The 20,507-nt window shown below is 39.4% G+C and overlaps 1 protein-coding gene and 1 long non-coding RNA gene across 4 annotated transcripts in view; one reads left to right on the forward strand and one right to left on the reverse strand.

The window, feature by feature from the left end:
* Nucleotides 1–20,166, forward strand: part of COG2 (component of oligomeric golgi complex 2) — a 51,502-nt gene extending 31,336 nt beyond the window's left edge. For 2 of the 3 annotated variants that reach the window (NM_007357.3, XM_047449445.1), the window contains 10 exons: nucleotides 1,182–1,308; nucleotides 5,097–5,236; nucleotides 9,758–9,819; nucleotides 11,269–11,420; nucleotides 13,119–13,316; nucleotides 14,255–14,327; nucleotides 14,604–14,746; nucleotides 16,198–16,337; nucleotides 17,568–17,748; nucleotides 19,476–20,166. In NM_007357.3, the coding sequence (NP_031383.1) occupies nucleotides 1,182–1,308; nucleotides 5,097–5,236; nucleotides 9,758–9,819; nucleotides 11,269–11,420; nucleotides 13,119–13,316; nucleotides 14,255–14,327; nucleotides 14,604–14,746; nucleotides 16,198–16,337; nucleotides 17,568–17,748; nucleotides 19,476–19,577 (1,318 nt within the window). In that variant the 3' untranslated portion in view covers nucleotides 19,578–20,166. The remainder of the gene's footprint in view (nucleotides 1–1,181; nucleotides 1,309–5,096; nucleotides 5,237–9,757; nucleotides 9,820–11,268; nucleotides 11,421–13,118; nucleotides 13,317–14,254; nucleotides 14,328–14,603; nucleotides 14,747–16,197; nucleotides 16,338–17,567; nucleotides 17,749–19,475) is intronic. The other variant, NM_001145036.2, reaches the window with a different exon arrangement.
* On the reverse strand, nucleotides 1,129–2,557 carry LOC107985358 (uncharacterized). The gene is made up of 2 exons (XR_001738517.1): nucleotides 2,470–2,557; nucleotides 1,129–1,394 (listed from the first exon to the last, which is right to left on the reverse strand). It is a non-coding gene; the product is annotated as an uncharacterized LOC107985358 (long non-coding RNA).
* Nucleotides 20,167–20,507: the final 341 nt, after the last annotated feature.

Genomic DNA, 20,507 nt, shown 5'->3' on the forward strand with positions numbered 1-20,507 from the left:
AGCTCTTCCTGGACAGTGAAGCAAAGCTTCCTTGATAACTTATCTGTCTTGATAATTTTTGTTAAGCAGGAAAATTATGAAAACTTTAAAAAAATTTATTTTAATACTTACCAGAATGTTAAGTCCCGTTTTGACATGGCAACTTAGCTACAAAACTCCCAGTTTTGCTAAAATAGAACATTTATTAAATTGTTTGCCATTTTAAAAAATTACCTTGAAATAGAGCAGAATACCCAATATGAAACAAAGTGGGCAGATTAGTGAAATGGTGTTTGCCTAGAATGGATGTTTATGGATCTTTGAGTTTGTGAGCGACTTAAGGAATCTCCGTTATTTAACCGTTACTAACATAGGGCTTTTACTATATGTTAGGCACTATCCTAAGTACTTTACAAATATTAATTCTTATAATGACTTTGTGAAGTTGGTACTATGATCATCACCATTTTAAAGATGAAGAAACCAAGCACAGAGAAGTTAAATGATTTGCCCGCCCTCCAATATCTGAATCAGGCACACCAGCTCCAAAGCGCATGCTTTCTGTCAGTGCTGCCTGTCATCTACATTTGGGAATTTGGAATTTAAAAGTCTGGTGCTAAAAAAAGACAAAACAAGACAGGCACACACACAAAATAAAACATTAATCTGTTAACAGGTTTTTGTGTCAAGATTTGTGATAAGATTTCACATTTGATAGTCATAGAATTTTAGAACTGAAAGTAATCTTAGAGATAGCTTAGTAAATACAAAGCTGTTAGTAATTTATAAATTAGCATAACTTACAATGCTGTGTGGTTTAGTGGTGTTCAGTAATGTGAAGGTTATTTTTCCTGTGGTATTAGACTACTGTACTTTTTGTTTCCAAGATAGGAGTATAAAGGGGTTGGGAAGTATTTTAGAGGGAAAAGTGTACCAAGGTGATTTTATGTGGCTTCCCTTAGCCTTGACACCAGCTGGAGGAGTCAGGATCTAGGAGATTTGCCAGGTTTGAGGTGAGACTGAAATTAAGGAGTGAAATAGAAACTTGAGTCTGGAAACAAACTAAATTACAAATACGGTTTTTTTAAAAAGTTGAAATAAGTTTTAGACTGCGGATCTTTTGGCAGAAGCAACACAGTGGAAATTTGCTCTTTGTAAGTAGATTATGGTATATTTTACTGATATGTGCCCTTATTTTACAGTGAAAAAGGCAATACTGTTCCTGGATATGACTTTTTGGTGAATTCTGTTTGGCCACAAATAGTACAAGGATTAGAAGAAAAGTTACCCTCGCTTTTTAATCCTGGGAATCCCGATGCATTTCATGAGGTATCTCCCCGCCCGTCGTCTTGATTCTTGAAGATGTTAACCGGAGACTGGAGAAATATCATGTTCTCTTCTACTTAGTCTTGGTTCTGTGGTTTATTAAAAATAAAAATTTGAGTTGCTAAGTGAACATTTAACCTTAAAACACACACATCGTTTTATCCAAGATATGATGTATGATACTTTTAGGAATAAGAACATTTTCATTTTATAATATAAAGTATAATTAAGGCTAGATACAAGTGTGAGTAGAAATGTACATTATTTTCTAACTTTCTTAAAAACATCCTGAGGACCATTAAAAGCCAGTGTTTTTGCAGTTTTCTGTGAAAAATTAAGTTTGTACATCTCTGCCATATAATTTTGAATGAAAACAGAAAGTATTCACTGAATGTTTTCCAGCAGCAAGTACAAAGGAATTGGTTGGATTTTAAAATATACTACATAAATGTCCTTTATGATTTAAAAAGTTAGAAAGCCCCAATATTTATTTGTTTTTTTAATTTATATTTTATTTTATTATTACTATTACTATTTTTGAAACAGGGTCTTACTGTGTTGCCCAGGGTGGAGTGCAGTGGCACAATTATAGCTCACTGCAGTCTTCGACTCCTGGACTCAAGCGATCCTATGCCTCAGGCTGCTTCCTGAGTAGCTGGGATTTCAGGCGCACACCACCATGCCTGGTCAATTTTTCTTTTCTTTTTCTTTTTCTGTGGAGATGGGTCTCACTATGTTGCCTAGGCTAGTGTTGAACTCCTAGCCTCATGCACTCCTTCCCCCTCAACCTTCCAAAGTGCTAGGATTTCAGCCCCCATGTCCAGCCCTATTCCACCCCTGCTTCCCCCGCCCTCTTAAAAAAGAAATCATTATTTAAAAGATTTCATGGTTAGGATTTCAAAAATCAATGTGTAAGTTTGCTTTCCATTCTATCATTTTAAAGGCTCAGCCTCTTGGCACTTTTCTTCCTTCTTCTTCCCTGGATTTCAGTTTTTGGTTTCTTATGCAGTGAGATAATCTTTGTCTTTTAATTAGGTACTTTATTAAATTTACAGTGATTCTAACTGTCAATGCATTTGACTCTTATTTTATACTTTCTCTTTGTTCCAGTTTTCTTCCCTTATTTCCTTCCTCCCATCTTTTCTTCCTCCCTTCTTTTTTCACCTTCTTCGTATTTTAGACTTCTGGGGATCTGTTTTCCATCTTTATTCCATTTTGTCCCCTCTACTAATTTGGAAGTTGTGCCCTTTATTTCTGTACATATTGAGTAACCTTACTGGTTACTTAATGGAATCTAAAGTTGATTTATGTTCTCGAGCCTTCTCCTGGACAATACGCGGAACTTAGAACACATTAACACCAACCATCCCTTCTCATAGTATATATTTTTGTTTCCTCGCTCGTACTTCTATTACGTTTTTTTTAAAATCTTAAAAACTGGTCATTTTTATTGTTTTAAATCATCATCGTCCTCTGGGAATTACCCTACATGTTTGTCATTGCTTACTGTTCATTTTTGAATGTCAGCTCATCCTTCTTGAATCATTCTTCTGAAATTCATGTTAGAAGACTTTTTAGTCTTCTAACTGTTGATGATAATTTATTTTTTTAATAATTTCTCAGTTTGTGTTTGTCTGAAAATAACTGTATTGCTTCTGTTTGTAAGGTCAGTTTGCTGGATGTATTAACAGAATTCTCAGCACTTTGAGTGTTGTCTTTTGAGTTGCATTATTAAGTTAGCCGTTAATTTAATTGTTATTTCTTTGTAGTTAATGCCTTTTTTCTCTGGCTGCTTTTAAGATCTTCTGTGTGACTTTGGTGTGCTAAGTAAGTTCTGCTATGATATGTCCAGTAGAACTTCTTTTTTTATTATTATCCTTAGGATTTGATAGGTTTTCTGAATCTGAGAATTGGTATCTTTCATCCATTCTGGAACATTTTTATATATTATTTCTTCAATTGTGCTTTTCTTTCATTCCTCTATCATCTCCATCTAGATCTCTTGTTTAGACAGGCTCACCCTATCCTCTGTATTTGCTGCATTCTCGATAATTTCACAGTCTGTCTTCTAGGTCACTAATTCCTTCTTTAGTTGTGTCTAAACTCTTTTCCACCTGCACATTGAGTTTCTGGTTAATTATCATATTTTTTTATTTCTAGAAGTCATATTTGTTGTTTGTCTAGCCTCCCTGGCGAATTTGTTTATTAATTTTTTAAGTGTAGAGAGGCACAAGATAAGCATAAACAGACAGCCTGGGGCCCAGCAGGTTTCCCACAGATAAGACAACACATTGGGAGGTTTACCATTCCAGAAATGCAACTTACCTTATCTGTTGGCTGATTGTCCCATGTTACAGTGCATTGAATAACAGGATTGTGCCATTTTCAATAAATTTTATAGCAACATTTGTAATTTTAAAAAGTAGGGCTTTTTAAATAAGATAGCATAAGGAGAGTGAAATAATGGCTTTAAGCAGAAGCAATTGTAAGCTTTAAGCACTAGCAAATGTGAAGACGCTTTACAATTTGCTGTGTGCTTTAGAGACTCGTATTGACCATGTTTGACTCAGGAAATGTTTCAGCTCAGAAATGAACCTTTCTGATAGAACTTGACTTTAGAATTTTAGGCTAATACTTAACATTTGTGAGTATAGTTTCCAGCAGATAGTATCCATTTATTTCCAGAAATACTTTCAGCTTTAAGCCTTAATGTAATGTGTTTCTTGTAAGAGGGCAATATCTTTATATTTGTTTTAGCATCCATTATATGCAGAGGTATAGTTTTGTCCCAAAAGGGAAGAATAATCCCTATTTTTGTCTCAACTCCACACACCTAGACCACCCTCTGGGATAACATAAGTTTGCCCAAAACCATTTGAAATAAATTTAAAGCCTGTAGTTTTTACTACTGTAAGATCCTTTCTAAGCACAGACTTTAGCATATTTAGATTAATGGTTTGATGACCCTGGATTGAGCCCCTTTTAATTGAGAAGAACATAAAAAATTCAACAGTGTTCTTAGAGCCTGGGGGCTTCGGGAATAAAGTACCCACAAAAGCAACATGCAGCCGCAGTTTTGGTCAACTGACTGACTAGCATTCTGCTTCCTCTACCGCCTGGCTTGTCTTTTGAGCAGGTTCTCTGTGAGCCTCAACAGAAGAAGAAGCATCATTTGTAAAATGGGGATGATGATGATGATGATGATGGTAGTTGCCCTGTGGGGTCGTTTTGTGGGTTAAATTAAATAAGACAATTCTAATCACAGTGTGTCGATGATAAATGCTACGAGTTAGCTGCCACTCTTAATGGTTTTGGTACATCTCCCTGTCAGTTTTCATGCTATCTTATTTATAAAAATGAAGTGAATACTCACATGGTTTGATTCTTTCTCTTCTCTCTCTTTCTTCTTCAGAATTTTCTCCTTCTTTCTCCTTTGTGAGGCAATGACGAACTATGTCATTTAATCTGCTGTCAATTCTAATTCCAGTGGGCTGGGGTAGGGGGCCCTAGAACATGAGCACTGCCATTTAAAGAGCACCAGACTTAGAGTGCCTGGGTCTCAGATGGGCTTTGCCATGGAAGACACGGAAGACATATCACAGAACCACTTTGGGCATTTATGTATCTTTAAATGGGGACATTGGAAGAAAGATCTTGTAAGTTCCTTGTTAACTCTAGAAACTGTGATTCTTACGTGTTGAGCTTCTTTATCTTGATTACAGTTTTCAGTACATGCTCCCTGTTCTAGTTAGTGTTCTAATAATGAAAATTTTCCTTTTGTTTTATTTTAGAAATATACCATAAGTATGGATTTTGTCAGAAGATTGGAACGGCAGTGTGGATCACAGGCTAGTGTAAAGAGATTAAGAGCCCATCCTGCCTATCACAGCTTCAATAAGAAGTGGAACTTGCCTGTTTATTTTCAAATAAGGTTGGTCATCTATTCACCGCCCCCGCCCCGCACCCTTCTAAAACAGAATTGGAATGCCAGTTAAGGATGTTGCCTCAGTTAGCGGCTCCTTTTCTCTGATCATCATAATAAGCTTTGGGAGACAAAATTGAAAGTGGAGAAAGAGATATAAGAAGTATTATGGTTGCCAAAGTCTGGCTTGCATGACAAAAAGATAAGTTTTCTTTTTTGGTAATTGGAGAGCTCAGAACACAAGAGTTGGAAGGAGCTGACTCCAAGCCCAGCCTCATTCCCACCCACCATGTCCTCATTCATTGTGAAAAGAGAAAGTAGGAGTTATACAGCAGCTCTTTTTTTCCATTTTCCCTATTTCATCGTCTGCCTCAAATAATGAACCTGTCTCACATCTGTTTTTGCTCGTCTGAGATACTTTTCCCCTAGAGGGAATGGGGAGAAGCAGAGCTTTAAGTGTTCTTTGCAGCTGGTTCCATCTATTAGTTTATGAGAAGCCTGGTCATTATTTCAGCCTCCCTGATCGTCTTTGTGACATTTGTACCCTCTATTCAGGAAAATGGTGACATTTTTCTTCCAGGTTTCATGATGATATCACCTTTGTCAATAAGCCATTCTATAAAATACTTGGGGGAAATTTAGGATGAACCCTTATCATACACTGCATTGGAAAAACATGATAAGAGTCATTTTTGCAGATTCTCTTGAATGAGGTCATGGTATGTTCTTCCGTAGAATGGATTTTACTTGAAATGCTCTTTGAAGAATCATAGGCTTTTTTATTTAAATTGCTGGATGCTTTCATTAATTATGATGCAGTCCTTTCCCCTAGCGTTCTGAGGAATAATTACAGAGAGGGAAATCAAGAATTAGGTACCCTGATGATAATTGCTTGAGATGATTGAGAATGTATGTAATGATCTTTTTATAATGAAATCACAGTTCTCAGAATGAAGTAGTAAGGTGCCCTTTCACTTACAATACTGTGTTTTATGCTAAATTTTCCAAGGTTGCATCATCATGTAGTTGGTCTCTCAGCAGGAAATTACGGATTTGTTCATCTAAGATATTAATGGGATGCACTGGAAATAGTTGGTATATGATAATCAACATCAAGCCAGGGCAAGAAACCTTTTTGATTTGTGAGCAGGATTTAAAATAGCAAAGCATCATTTTATAAAATGATACTGCTATGTAGAAATAATGTTTACATTTCCCCATCTCTTTTTGTCGTCCAGGTTTGGAGTTAGATTGCTTTAGTTATCTAATGCTGTCACCTCACAAACATACTCCTCTGCTTCCTGCCTCCAAACTTTCCTGGTCCTTTTCCTCAGACCCTGGGACCCATGCAGCATCACCTCACTCTTCCATCCCACCCCTGCACCTCCTGGAGCTCCCATGGGCTATTTCAGCCCATGCTCTTGGCTCTGCCAGGCTGGGCCCCTTGGTGACGGCCCAGCTTGGCTTCAGCTGCATCTCCCTTCCATTTCAGTTTCTCTCAAAGCTGGTAATTGGACCTTAAACTACATTGAAACTCAGCCAGTTCCCTGAAAGTCTTTTTTACCTTCACCAGATTTCAGCCTTAAGCCTTCAAAGGAGCTGATTAGCCTTTTTTAAAAAACCTCTTTTATTTAAAATTCATGAAATTTTAAAAAAACACGTTTGAGTTACGGAAGTGTAGAACTTGTCTTTAGTACATTTGTTTTTCCATCTAAAAAGTAAATTCCATTAAGACTTTGTAGAACTTTTCTATTGATTTTTATCAGGTGTTGAGTTGTTTGCTCTGAAGGATGACAAAAAGTTCCGCAAACATGATTAGGGTCAGAGTTGCATTGTCATCAGATTCATTTCAAGGTCATTTGAAGTAAACCTAAAGACAGTGGGGTGTGATGGTTGGACATTTCCTAAGAAGAAATATTACTCTCAGTAATAGTTTTCTGCTCCTGGATCTGACTATATACCCACATCCCAATCACCTTCAGGAAAAAGGCCACCTCCCCACCCCAGCCACCACCACAATTCTTGTGAACACATTTTGTATCCTCTCACTCTTCCTGAGACCCCACTGTGTCTACATTTCATTTGCACCTACAGGCATATTGGAAAGTAGATGAGGACTTAGTATCTCATAGGAAGAAATTAAATGCAGATGTGATCAAAACAGCCCCAAATTATAATGAGTCAGTGGCTGCCTGGAAACTGCAGGTGTTAGCTCTTTAAATGCTAAAGCCTAAATTTCAGTTTGCTGTTCTTTTTAAAATTGAAATCTTTATAGTACATTCACATGTATATACTGTATTACATAGTATATGCTGAACACAGTCTTATGATGTGGAATCTACATAGTAGTATTAAGGTGCAAGTAGCCCTTTCCTGTTCCTGCACTCCTCTCAGACATGTGTATCCACAAGAGACGGGTGCACTTAATGATGTTTCCAATACTTCAGAGAAAAAAAACAATAGGCATCACTATTATTATCGCCATTGTTATTTTTATTTAAGTATTATTGTAGACCTGTGATGTTCGTGGAGGAATATGTCTAGAGACCTTCCCCAGGCCTATATTTAAGAATTTAGAAATGTTTGTATTTGGGGTTGCCCTTCTTACATGGATCCTGTTGAGAGTAGAATGACATTCGATGTGCACATGAAAACCACAGCATGGCTTTTCAGATTTCAGCAGAGGTTCCCTCTCACTTTTGGCCATTTTCCAAGAAGAAATATGATCTGTTGCTTCATTCCTGGAAGTGACTGCACAGCAGAGCTGTGTGAGGGGCTGGTCCCCTGGCTGGGGAGCACACCTAGGCCAAGTGACTCAGGCAGTTGTAATCATGTATCACTGTCCCTGCTCACAGACAGGCAGAACGTCTCTGTGAAGTGCAGGGATCAAGGCTCTGCTGCATTTCTTTGGTCCTTTTTCATTTCTATGCTTTTCAGAATTATCATAAATATACATAAAACTTTGTGTCCCATGTCTTTGGATAGTACTAAATTATACCTATTTTTCCTTATTGGAAAATAGCATCAAGCTTCCACATTAATACTGCATACTAGTCCATTGAATATATCTCAGGTTCCATAAGCATATTCCTTCTTTTGGCCATTTAGGTTGCTTCCAGTTTTTCCCTGATATAAACAGTGCTGTGCCAGCTATCAGGCCTTTTCTGTATCAGGGCTAACTTCCTATATTTTGTTTAGATTTTGAAAAAAGGCAGGACTTGGGGGTCTGAGATTGAGCTCTAGGTGCTGGTTTGCTCTCCCAGGTGCAGAGCAATCCCATCTCCCTTGTTCCCGTGCTCAGTGTCACTGCCTCCTCTTACTGCTGTTCCTGGGCTAGTTTCCAGTGCTCTCTTATCCCACTTTTCCATCTGTCACTTGTTCCTTCTGTACCTCTCAACTGCAGCTTGAAAAGACTAGCCTTTTGTAAGCTTCACTGGGCAATTAGAGTTCCTTTCCTTCCATGGGGCAGACGGGACAGCTACTGGAAACCAGCCAGCTACAATGGTACAGGATAGCCTTAGTGTCTTCAGTGCTCAGCTGTGTTGGGTAGGGCTGCTGCTTTTTGTCTCAAGCTGTTCTTTTTACTCTTCAGACAGTTGCCTTTAGCTCAGTCTGTGAACCGCTTTGTAAAAGCACATTATGTACTATAAAAAATAATTTAATATCAGTTGGATAAATTGATATTGAGCATGCATCAGAATTCATTACTAGTAAGGCAATTAGCAGGTGACAAAAGAGCATGCTAGTAAAGAGATATATGAAATTGCAAGAGTTATATAGTTAGAAAACAATGCCTGCAAAAGCAGCTAGCTTAAAAAAACTATATAACACATTTGCCTTTCACAAAGTCATAAAAACATGTCCATATCCATTATTAGAACAGAAGTCTGTGACAGGATGAGCTGAGGTGCCAGGTGAGCCAGCTGTCATCAGGGAAAAAAGAACGCACATCTAGGAAGCGCTGGTACAGACAGCCGTAGAACCCGAAGGGCAAGTACCATGGACGTGGGAGAGGGTCACAGATTAGAAGAGCACCAAGCAGTGAGTTCTAGTTTTAACTGGCCACTTCCTGTGATTTTTCTCAAGCTGCCAACACAGGTACAGAATGCAGCTTTCTTAGCTTGGGGACGTTTACCTTCCTGTGATGGTGTTAAGATAGATGGGTTGGAGGAACCAAAGTTTTATGGCCTTGAAGTGAATAGAGGATCATAATCAGGTGCTGCTCACCAGCAACAACTTCTTGATGGAGACTTAACTGGCAGTTTGTTTAATTTGAGAAACATGGGGTAAGTTATGATTCAGACCAGCTGCAAATAACAGAGAACCCTTATATAACAGTGGCTTAGTCACGATTTCTTGTTCAGTTAAAAAAAAAAAAAAAAAAAAGCCTGGGAGAATAGGCATTCCGAGGCTGGACTTACCAGTGAGTGACAGAGGAAGTTCCTGTTACTTAGGAAAAACAGAGAATGGATAGGGAAAGGCATCTGTCAGAGTCATAAACATTAATTCTTCTTCTTGTTTTTATCTCAGATTTAGAGAAATAGCGGGATCCTTAGAAGCAGCACTTACAGATGTCCTGGAAGATGCCCCAGGTAACTCCCTTAAAGTGATAAGTGGCATGGTATCCTAAATGAGTTCATTCAGTTCACCAAGTCATCTGGATTGCAGTATTCTGAGCGTACTTTTACTGTTTTTTTTTTTTAATCATACAGTAAGTTGGACCTTAAAAATCACTTAGTTTGACTTCTTTTTTTTGCTTTTTTTTTGAGATGGAGTCTCGCTGTGTTGCCCAGGCTGGAGTGCAATGGCATGATCTTGGCTCACTGCAGCCCCCGCCTCCCAGGTTCAAGCTATTCTCCTGGCTTAGCCTCGAAAGTAGCTGGGATTACAGGTGTACACCACCACGCCTAGTTAATTTTTTTATTTTTAGCAGAGACAGGGTTTCACCATGTTGGCCAGGCTGGTCTCGAACTCTGACCTCAAGTGATTCACCCCCCCTTGGCCTTCCAGAGTGCTGGGATTACAGGCATGAGCCACCACACCCAGCCTGACTTCTTTTTTTAATAAGGTAAAAATAAACCAAATAGTTTTGGTGTATAGAGTTCTTGCTTTATAGAGATGAAAAATGAATAAGAATATAGGAAACAGACCTCATTTTCATTCCTGAATATAACTTGTCCAGGGGATATGGCCCCTTGGTGTGCTTATGTGAACAGCTGGTTTTTTTTAGCAAATTGGCTGTGATCTGCCTTCCTCCCAGGCTGAGGACTGGTCTGCATGGTAGAGGGTCAGGTGCTCCTGCGTCTCACTGAGAATGACTCACAGCTGGAGCATGCATCCTGGGCCTCCTGTGCCCTGGCCGCCCATCCTAGGATGTTGGGCAGGTAACAGTTGTAGGTATGTGGACTTACCAGTACATGTTGACATACCCTTTCAGCCTCATTAATTTTTGTATCATATATTTATTCCTAGTGACCACTGAAATACTGTGTGCTGATATCTAGGTTCCTCAACTTAAATTTCCACTCTCTTTTATACAGCTAAGTCTACTGTCATTTTGAATCAATTTTAGCCTCAGAGTTAGTTTTCATCTGTCTTTGCCAAAAATGGTCATATGTAGTTAACTTCTTCTATAAAAATAAGAAGTATGTTGAGATAGAGGAAGACTCTTGTGAAATAGGACAAATTTGAAACTGAAGTTTAAACCTCTGCAAGTGATTGCCACTCCAGCCCATGTTTGTCGATTTGGTATGAAGTACCTATTAAACGTTATTTCTGAATGCTATATGTATTTGATGTTTATCCAAACACCTGGGAGATAGTGTCATGTAAAATTGTGCGTGGCATGAAGGATGTGGTAGGGAACTTGGATTGTGGCCACTCGTCATCCCTGTGCCTCCAACAGCTTTGCTGACCACATGGTTTTCTTCAGAAGGCCATTTTCTTTACCTTTGAATCGTACATCGGAAGTCTCACATTAGACTATAGCCTAAAATTGCCTGAAATTCCTTAAATGTGTGTTGTTGTTGTTTTTTCTCTAGCTGAAAGTCCGTATTGCCTTTTGGCTTCTCATAGAACTTGGAGCAGCCTTAGGAGGTGTTGGTCAGATGAGATGTTCTTGCCATTACTGGTGCATCGCCTGTGGAGACTCACTCTGCAGATTTTGGCACGATACTCTGTGTTTGTCAATGAGGTAAGGGCTGGCTGTGGAGCTCATCCATAATCAATACTGATAAAAATTAAAGATATGTTAGGCTAACTCCCTAAGATTTTTGTAAATACCATGAGAGGTTAATTCAGAGGACCACAGTAGTCTGACTTCCCAAGATTGTCTCCAGCTCTGTGTCTGTGTTTCATTTTTACTCCTGCGAGCATTGCATTTAGGGGTGTCTATTATCACAAACTTATTTTGTTGAAAAGCACCACTCTGGCAAGTCCATTTTTTTCCTTCTCAAAACCAGAATCTTTGAACTGCCTCCAAATTTAAAAAAAGAAAAAGATGTTCATTTTAATTTCAAGGTGATTATGAAAATGATTAGAAATAAAAATATATGCATTTTAATACTTAATATTTGGAAGTTTACAAAATGATATTGTCATCAACATAAAAAGGTATTAAAATTCTTTTTTTGAATATCCTTTTCCCTTTTCAAATAATCAAATATATTAAATATCCACATGCTCTGATGACTTATTAATACCCTACAAAAACCCAGAAATTCTTGATCCACAAGGGCGTTGGTCCAGTCCTGTGCTGAGCACCAGCCCGGCGGGTCCTTGCTGGGACCTCGGATTGCAGTGCTGCCCTTTCTCTGGGGACAGCGTGAGTAACAGACACTCAGGTAAACCAGTCATCGCAGTGTGAGGAGTATGCAAAGGAGATGTGTTCTAAAAAATAAAAAAGACAACAGGGAGAAAACAGCACACTTTGAGTAAAATCTTTGTAATTTGGAGTAGGAAAGGATCCCAGTCATCCTCTTGCAGTGTATTTTAATGGAAAGAGTGTCAGCTTTGGAGCTAATGTCAAACGTTGGCTCTTTAACTTTTTAATTCTGTGGACCTGGAGAAATTAAGCTGAGTCTTCATCTGGAGAATGGGAAAACAGCTTCTATATGTGGCTGTTGTGAGGATTTATTTGGACTAAAGCTCCTGTCAGGTAATGGGAGTCTAGTGAAATCTAGTTTGTGTTTCCCTTTTGCCTTTCCTCCGCTCAGAAGGGTCTTAGTGGACCACCCTGGGCTGTCAGCTGTTTCTGAAGACCACTGTATGATTCCCCTGACAGAGTGGGGTTAGGACGATTATTCAATTAGGCTAAGCATGCGTTCTTGCTAGCCAGGAATTCTCCGTTTATCTCTAGTAGATCACTTTGCCCTGAATGTTCATTATCCCATTCTATCCCATTCTTTTCTTGATGCTAGCTTACTTCTCTTTGATTTTTTTCCCTTATAAACAATGTGACACAAAGAACACTTTGTTTTTTGTATTTGAAGGTTTGGATTTTGATATTTTACCCTTGTTAATTATAATTACAAATGTATTACGCTATGTTATTTGCCTAATATAATTGATTTTTTTAAAACCTGTGATGTCCCCAAAATTAATTTTATTGTGGTTTGGGCACTTTATTTTTCACGTTATTTTTATCACCAGAAATTAGACAAGTTCCAGAAGGTAAATGTACCTGGGGCCGTAGTTTGTCCTTGTTTCTCTCTTAGTGCTTCACTCCTTCCTGTAGATACAATATTGTATACTTTTATTAGTAAGTTTTTACTAAATGCTATGTAGACAGCTAGCATTTAATGGTGAGTTATTGACGCGCACATATGTAATATATAAATGCTCATGTATCTTGCTAGTGTGAAAGTAGTTAATCAGTGAAATCCTTTTTCAGCTTTCACTCAGGCCCATTTCTAATGAAAGTCCCAAGGAGATCAAGAAACCTTTGGTAACTGGTAGCAAAGAACCTTCCATCACCCAAGGAAACACTGAAGACCAAGGAAGTGGTCCTTCGGAAACAAAGCCTGTGGTTTCCATTTCCCGCACTCAGCTCGTGTATGTGGTTGCAGACCTGGACAAGCTTCAGGAGCAGGTAAGCCTGTGTCCCAGAATAATTCCAGGTGCTTGGTTTAATGTTTTCACAGAAGGTAGTATGTGTAAAAGGCAAACACCACTGGGCCTTACGGGGCTTAAATTGGGGGACCCGTGGGTACCCCAAGAGAGAACCTCTCACTCACCTCCCTTTCTAGGTGTCTCTCCAGCTTCCCCTGACAGGTCATGTCCATATAGGGTTTCTAAGGGTGTGCACTTCTCCTCCTGTGTGGAGTGCATTCTGTATTGTATTCACCTCCACCCTGCTTCCTTTTCAGTAGTGATGGGACAAGCTTGAGCAGCCATGCTCCCCCACTTTTTTTTTCCCATTAGCTCACCTTATTCTGGTCAGGCATGATCTTTAGTGGGCTGGATTTTAGTTACTTTACATTAATTTACCCCGATATTTTCTGTTGATGTTTAATCTTCAGCTATACTTTGAAAGTGCTAAAATATTAAAACTTCTTCCTCTTTTTTCTCTGTATAGATCCGTATGTTTTTGCTTGTAACATCAACTCTGTGGGGTGAATTTAGTGGTTAAGTCCTCTGATACACAATTCTGCTTTCCTCAAGTTTAGATATTTTGTGGTGCTTGAATAAATACTGTTTTGAATTTTAAAATTTGTATGTTTTCAGTAAGAATATGGTCTTTACTGTGAGCTATTTTCGTATTATGGAGCGCCATAGAGTAGAAAATGTTTTTGCTTATTCTCTGTGCCTGTTAATAGCCATTAAACCATGTGATTTCTCATGTTGTTGAAATCTTTTTATAGTAAAAGCATTAAAACTGTTTCTTTCCTTTGATGAAAATTACTGAAATTCCTGATTTTAAGTTCACCATTCATTAGCAAATTCTAGAGTTTGTAGATGCAAATAGAATTGCCTCTTCCTTTGATTTATAAAAAGTAACTGAATATATAAAGTGCATATTTATTTCAGCTTCCAGAACTCTTGGAAATAATCAAGCCAAAACTTGAAATGATTGGCTTTAAGAATTTTTCTTCTATCTCAGGTAAAAATGAATCTTGACTAAGCAAATCTTTGAATAAGAAATGATTTAAAATAAAATCTCAGAGACTGTAGGGTATATTTAACATTTTCTTCTGTAGTTGTAAATCCTTGGTTGTTTCTCTATTCTGTATTATAACTTACCTAAATAAGATGTTTTATTTAATTCATTTGATCTGATTTATTATAGTACACAATGTAAATGCTGTGACAGTATTTCAAATGAAGTTCATGTCTGGGCCTGAGCATGATGATTAAATCCAGTCTTTAATCTCAACAGCAGCCCTGGAGGACTCCCAGAGCTCTTTTTCAGCCTGTGTGCCCTCCTTGAGTAGCAAGATCATCCAGGATTTAAGTGACTCTTGCTTCGGTTTCCTAAAAAGCGCCCTGGAGGTTCCCAGGCTTTACCGAAGAACCAATAAGGTCAGCGCCATTTATGGGAGAGAATTTTGAGGTGGGGAAGTGTGTGTTAGGAAAGCCAAAGAGGAAGGAAGGAAGGAAGCGGCGGATTCCCAGGGTAGCCTGAGACAGACTGAGCTCATCCCATTCTGAGAATGGTATTGATGAAGAGAGGGAGGTTGGGCAGGGGTGGTCAGGGGCTCTGGGCCACAAACTGAAATAGTTAGACCTTTCCCATCCTATCCTAAAAGTATTTAAGGATATACTCAGTTTCCTTTTGGTCTTGAGGAAAAGTAGGTTTTTCAGAAGAAAGCATTTTAATAACATTTTAAAGTCCTATACGTTTTTGTCTCCATATCAGGTATTCCACACTTTATATCTTGTTCCCTCTTTATTGTTACTGGAAGCATAGTTGGCCCCTTATCCCCAGGTTCTGCATCCACAGAGTCAACCAACTGTGGATCGAAAATATTTAGGGGGAAAAAAAACTACAACAATAAAAAATAATACATGCCAAATGTGGTGGCTCACACCAAAATCCCAGCATTTTGGGAAGCCGAGGCAGGAGGATTGCTTAAACCTAGGAGTTTGAGACCAGCCTGGGCAATGTCGTGACATCCAGTCTCCACACACAAAAAAAGTTTTTATTAAAAAAAATATAAATTTTAGTAATCTAAAGATGATTTAAACTATACTGAAGGATGTGCATAGGTTATATGCAAATATTATGCCATTTTATATTTGCTCAATAATTATTGTCTGATTTGAAGCTGCCACTTGGAAGTGGGAGAGAGAAACCAATATGTTATTTTTCTTTAGTAATCTACCAACTCTCCCTTTCTATTCAATAGGCTGTTACAGTAATACATTTACTGAGAGTTTGTTATGGGTCATTCACTCTGCTAGACACTTTGCATAGTCTTATTATCCTCCTACAAAATGGGTGCTAGTATTGTCATTTGCAGATGAAGAAACCAGAGCTAAGAAAGGTTACATTCCTGACCCTGTATCCTTGCTTCTCAAACAGTGGTCTAGTGATCAGCAGCATTCACATCACCTTGTGGGTGGGAGCTTGCTAGAAAAGCACAATCCCAGAACTCAACCCTTCCACCCACTGCCCCCAACAGAATTAGAACCTGAGTTTTACGAGATCACCAGGTGATTGGTGTGGACGTGAGGCCACGGGAAGCAGTGCCCTAGTTTCGGTGCCCTGAGCGGTGGGTGGCTGTGCCAGCCAGCACCTCAACCCAGTCTGGCTCCAGACATCACCTTCTTGTGCTGGCTCTTCTTATTCCCTCATGTTCTCCAGGCAGCTTTCTGTGGACCCCAGTGTTACTTTTGGGAGGGATGGAAGTTGTCCGTGTCTCAAAACTAGAACGTTAATAGTATCCTTTTGGACTTGAGTTCTGGGTAACTTACTGTTTCTTTTCTGTTTTTTTCCTGTGCATCTTTATCTCCTACCATCATCATTCCAGGAGGTCCCAACCACAGCTTCCTCCTATGTGGACAGTGCTCTGAAGCCCTTATTCCAGCTTCAGAGCGGACACAAGGATAAGCTCAAACAAGCAATAATTCAGCAGTGGCTAGAAGGCACTCTCAGTGAAAGCACTCATAAGTAAGTAAATTAAAAGCAGACCTTGTGGGCCTTGCTTAGAAGAGTCTGCGGCAGAAACCCCCAAGGCAATCAAGCACTGCGTATGGATAAGGCAGTGAGACTGCCTAGCACTTCTTCACTGGATTAGTCAGAGTGTGTGTCCCACTGTTTGCTTCCTCCCTCCCCACACCCTTGTGGACGGCCTGTGGGCTGGCTTCCTCTGCCTGGGCTTCAGCCTCGGGGCCGGGCCATGTGCACAGTGCCCCCGCATCTCCAGGCCCTGCCTGCGTTCCCTGCAGGTGCCGTTCTCCCAGGTCCAGCCACATTCTTCTGGGAGGCCCTTTCGTTACTCAGACCCTGTCAGTCCAAAGTGGCTCTAATCATAACAGATACTCAAAGGACTTAGGTTGGTGAAACCCTTGTAATCAAGGAAGAGAAAACATACATTTAAAAGTAATTACAGCTGACAAGGACTCGATTCCTAAAACCTCTAAAACACTTGATTGTCTTTTTCTAATGAAATTTGCTTTTCCCAAATCAAAAAGTGTGTTACTCAATTTTGTTACCAATTTTGTTTAATTATTAAATATTAATTTTGCAGTAATATTTTATTTACTTAAGATTTAAGTGGCCATTTATGGGTTAATTTAGAACATAACAATGATGTATAATACAGTTTTTGTGGGCAAATGTATTTCAGATGCCAAGTAACCAGCTTGTAGACAAAGCTTTGAAATATAACTCATTTATAATTTGAAAATTATATTGCAAGTATTTTGAAGGCAATGAGCTTTATTTAAAATTCTGAAATACTTTTACACTCTAAAAGATGAACTGTTCCTAGAACTGATTGGAAATGAACTTGTTACTTGATCTGGGGCATGAACTACAGATGTCCACCCTCGATACATGAAAGACAAAATTGGTCTATAGTTTTCTCCATGTTCAGGATTAAAAATTTAAGCAAAATCCACACACACACATATTTCTTAAATTCTGAGGGAATGCTATGTTAGACACTTAAGACCATATGTGTGTGTGTGTATATATATATACGTATATACATGTATATATATACACATATATATATAAAATGATCTTAAGAAACTTAAATACTTACCGTGGTTGAATTTTCGTTGGAAGTGAATTTTTATCTTAAAAATCTCTTTTTTTGGTCCACAAAGCCAGTTACTCTATTTGGTGTTACACACAAATGCCTCTTTTCACCAATAAACGTGTCTTCTATTCAAGGTACTATGAAACCGTGTCAGATGTATTAAACTCTGTGAAGAAGATGGAAGAGAGCCTGAAAAGGCTGAAACAAGCCAGAAAAACCACTCCCGCCAACCCCGTCGGTCCCAGTGGTGGCATGAGCGACGACGACAAAATCAGGCTGCAGTTGGCCCTAGATGTTGAGTACTTGGGAGAGCAGGTAACCCATCAGCCGCCGGCAGCTCCAGCGAGCCTGAAACCAAATTCTGAGAGCCGGGCAGTTACTTGGTGGCTCGCGTGATCCCAGAGATGCTGTCGCAGTGGCTAGGGAATTGCTTCCTGTGTTAAGACTAGGAGTCGGGGCTCCCAAATTACTTTGCCCCTAGGCAGTATGAGACGGCAATATGAGAATTCCCGTTTTGAAGTCTGGTGGCGTGCTCTCTGGTGCTGTTGCCATCTGCTTGTTTCCCCAGTGCCCATGCTCACGGAGCTCACTACAGTGAGACTTTTTGGTCCAGTGCCTGATACTTAATTGGTGCGAACCCCAGGCTTTTGAAATGCTTGCTGGTTTAGCTTAAAATAACTGAAAGCATTACCCCTCTATGGTGCATGAGAAATCCTTTGAGCATAACTTCTCTGCTTCCCTGCTTGGCCTTTGTAGCTTTCCTATAAAACACAAATTTTAGAATCATGGCACGTAGTTGAATGGTAATGTGGATATTATCACTTAAGAGGTGATATGGATAAGGTGCAATGAATGTCTTTTCATTTTTCACTGAGGTGAAAATGAAATTTCACCATAAAATGAAATTTTATGATACTGTGAGGACAGTATCATAAAACCTCTAGATGTTCAGAAACTGGCCTTCTAAACTGTTAAAGCGTCGCACATAGTAGTAGGTCCTCAAGGGAGGCCTTTCCACAGGGAAAAAAAGTGAAATCATAAAGTTTCCACAAGAGGACACTTGGTGGTGTTTTGGAGAACTGATACAATGTTAATAGAAAAAGAAAAAAAAAAAAGCAGTCAAAACAAGACACTTGATTTTCTAGCTCACTAAGGAATTTCTTTTACACATCATGATCATCACTGAAAATTCAACTTTTTTCTGCTTTGAGATGAATTTAGAGATATATCCCGGTAAAAGTCAACTGCCATGTTTCTTTATTTGGCAAAAAAACCCAAAGACTTTTTACAAGCAAGAAAGTATGTTATAGAAACGTGAAGAGCCAATGAGCAAAAGAAAGGGAAGGAAGGAAGGAGAGTGGGATAGGGAACTAAAAGGAAAGAGAGGGGAAGGAAAAGGTGCTCCCGCAGTCTCGGTCCCCAGAACAAACCACAAAATGCTGACAGAGACTTGGTGTGTATCTTCCCGGATCTTTCTCTGTGCGTGTGTGTGGTGCGTGTGTGTGTGTGCGTGTATGGATGTATACGTGTGTGTGTGTTGTTATTGTCGTTTTTAAACAAAAGTGGGAACGTAGTGTGCCATGTCTCGGTGACCAAAATAATCCACGGTAGTTGCTTTGCCAAACAAAGTGTTTTCAACTCATCTGATTCTAAAAGGTTTTTGGCAATATGTTAAGAAACTAAGAGCACAGACCAGTACTTTTTTGAAAATTCTCTACTTAAAAGTTCACTTTTTTATTTCCTCTAGTGTGGATTTTCTTTTCTAGAATGTTTTTAGGCCCACAAAAGAGGCTTTTATTCTGTCTGATTTGATGAACTGAGATAAATTAACATACTGGCTTCTTAGAATGCTAAGTGTTTGACCCCAAAATCCTCACATTTTACAACAAGTAAATCCTTTGCTCTAGAGGAAAAAATATCCTACAAGTCTTCAGGGAACTGTCTTCTGGTTTAGTAGAGGATGAAGATTTTCTTTCTTTTTTTTCCCCCCCCATATTCAGCTTGAATTGCAGTAACATAATTCATTCTCATGGCCTTTGCAGATACAAAAGTTGGGACTACAAGCAAGTGACATAAAAAGCTTCTCAGCTCTCGCAGAGCTTGTTGCTGCTGCCAAGGACCAGGCAACAGCAGAGCAGCCTTAAGCATCTTGGAAGATCCCGAGGTTAGATTCTTAAGCAAGAGAAGAGTTGGACTTCCAGGCTGAAGGGGAGAAAGTGACTCTGTTCTCTTAGCAACCGTCTGTAGCAAAGAAGTGCTTCCAGCATCACTCCAGCAACACGCCCATGCGTCTTCTCTCAGCGTATTTGGGTCTTCTTTGCCCAAAAGAACACAAAAGCCTTTTTCCATTGTATGGAAGATAGTTTTTAAGACATTTGAAACTTTCTACTATAGTTTACAGAACAAATTATTTTATTTTTATTGTAAATCTTAGTGTGGAAGAGCTGATTTCTAAAATATGATTAAAGTAAATATATACCTATGAATATCAAGAGTCGTCTCCCTGAGCCTGTAGTTGGAAGTGACGACTGTAATGGAATGATGTCTTGTATAGAAATGCCCTTCTCTGAAATAAAGAGAACTCCTGGGCTTTCTAAAGAGGCTGCGGGAAGCCATCCTCCACTCCCACTGTGTGTGAGAGCAGTGCTTCTGATCCTGCTGTCACCCCGACCTCTGGCAGGAGCCGGCGCCAGTAGGAAAGACCTCCTTCCTAAATAAAAGAAGTGTCTCCCATGAGTGTGTGCTCGTTTTCTTTGGGAATTCCCCACCAGGGAAGCACTCCTCGTCACTCATGCCCTGTAATGACACACATTCCCTTCCAGGCGGATGCTCCTCTTAGCACTGATGGGAAGGGTCCTGGCCAGCACTGACCCTTTCTTTCGATGTGTGGAAGTTCCTTTCCTTGGAGGGGTAACACCTTCCTTAGGAGTCGGCAGGCCCTTCCTGGCAAGCTGATGTGGGTAGAAGGAAAGAAGACTGCCCTGAGAAGAAGAGATGGAAGCACTGGGGAGAGGCACTCCAAGACTGGTTGGTTGGTTGAACTCACATAGGCAGCATGGAGTGCCGTGCAGCCC

Source organism: Homo sapiens, chromosome 1 (genome assembly GCF_000001405.40).
Source record: "Homo sapiens chromosome 1, GRCh38.p14 Primary Assembly".
In the NCBI taxonomy this organism is placed as follows: Eukaryota; Metazoa; Chordata; class Mammalia; order Primates; family Hominidae; genus Homo; species Homo sapiens.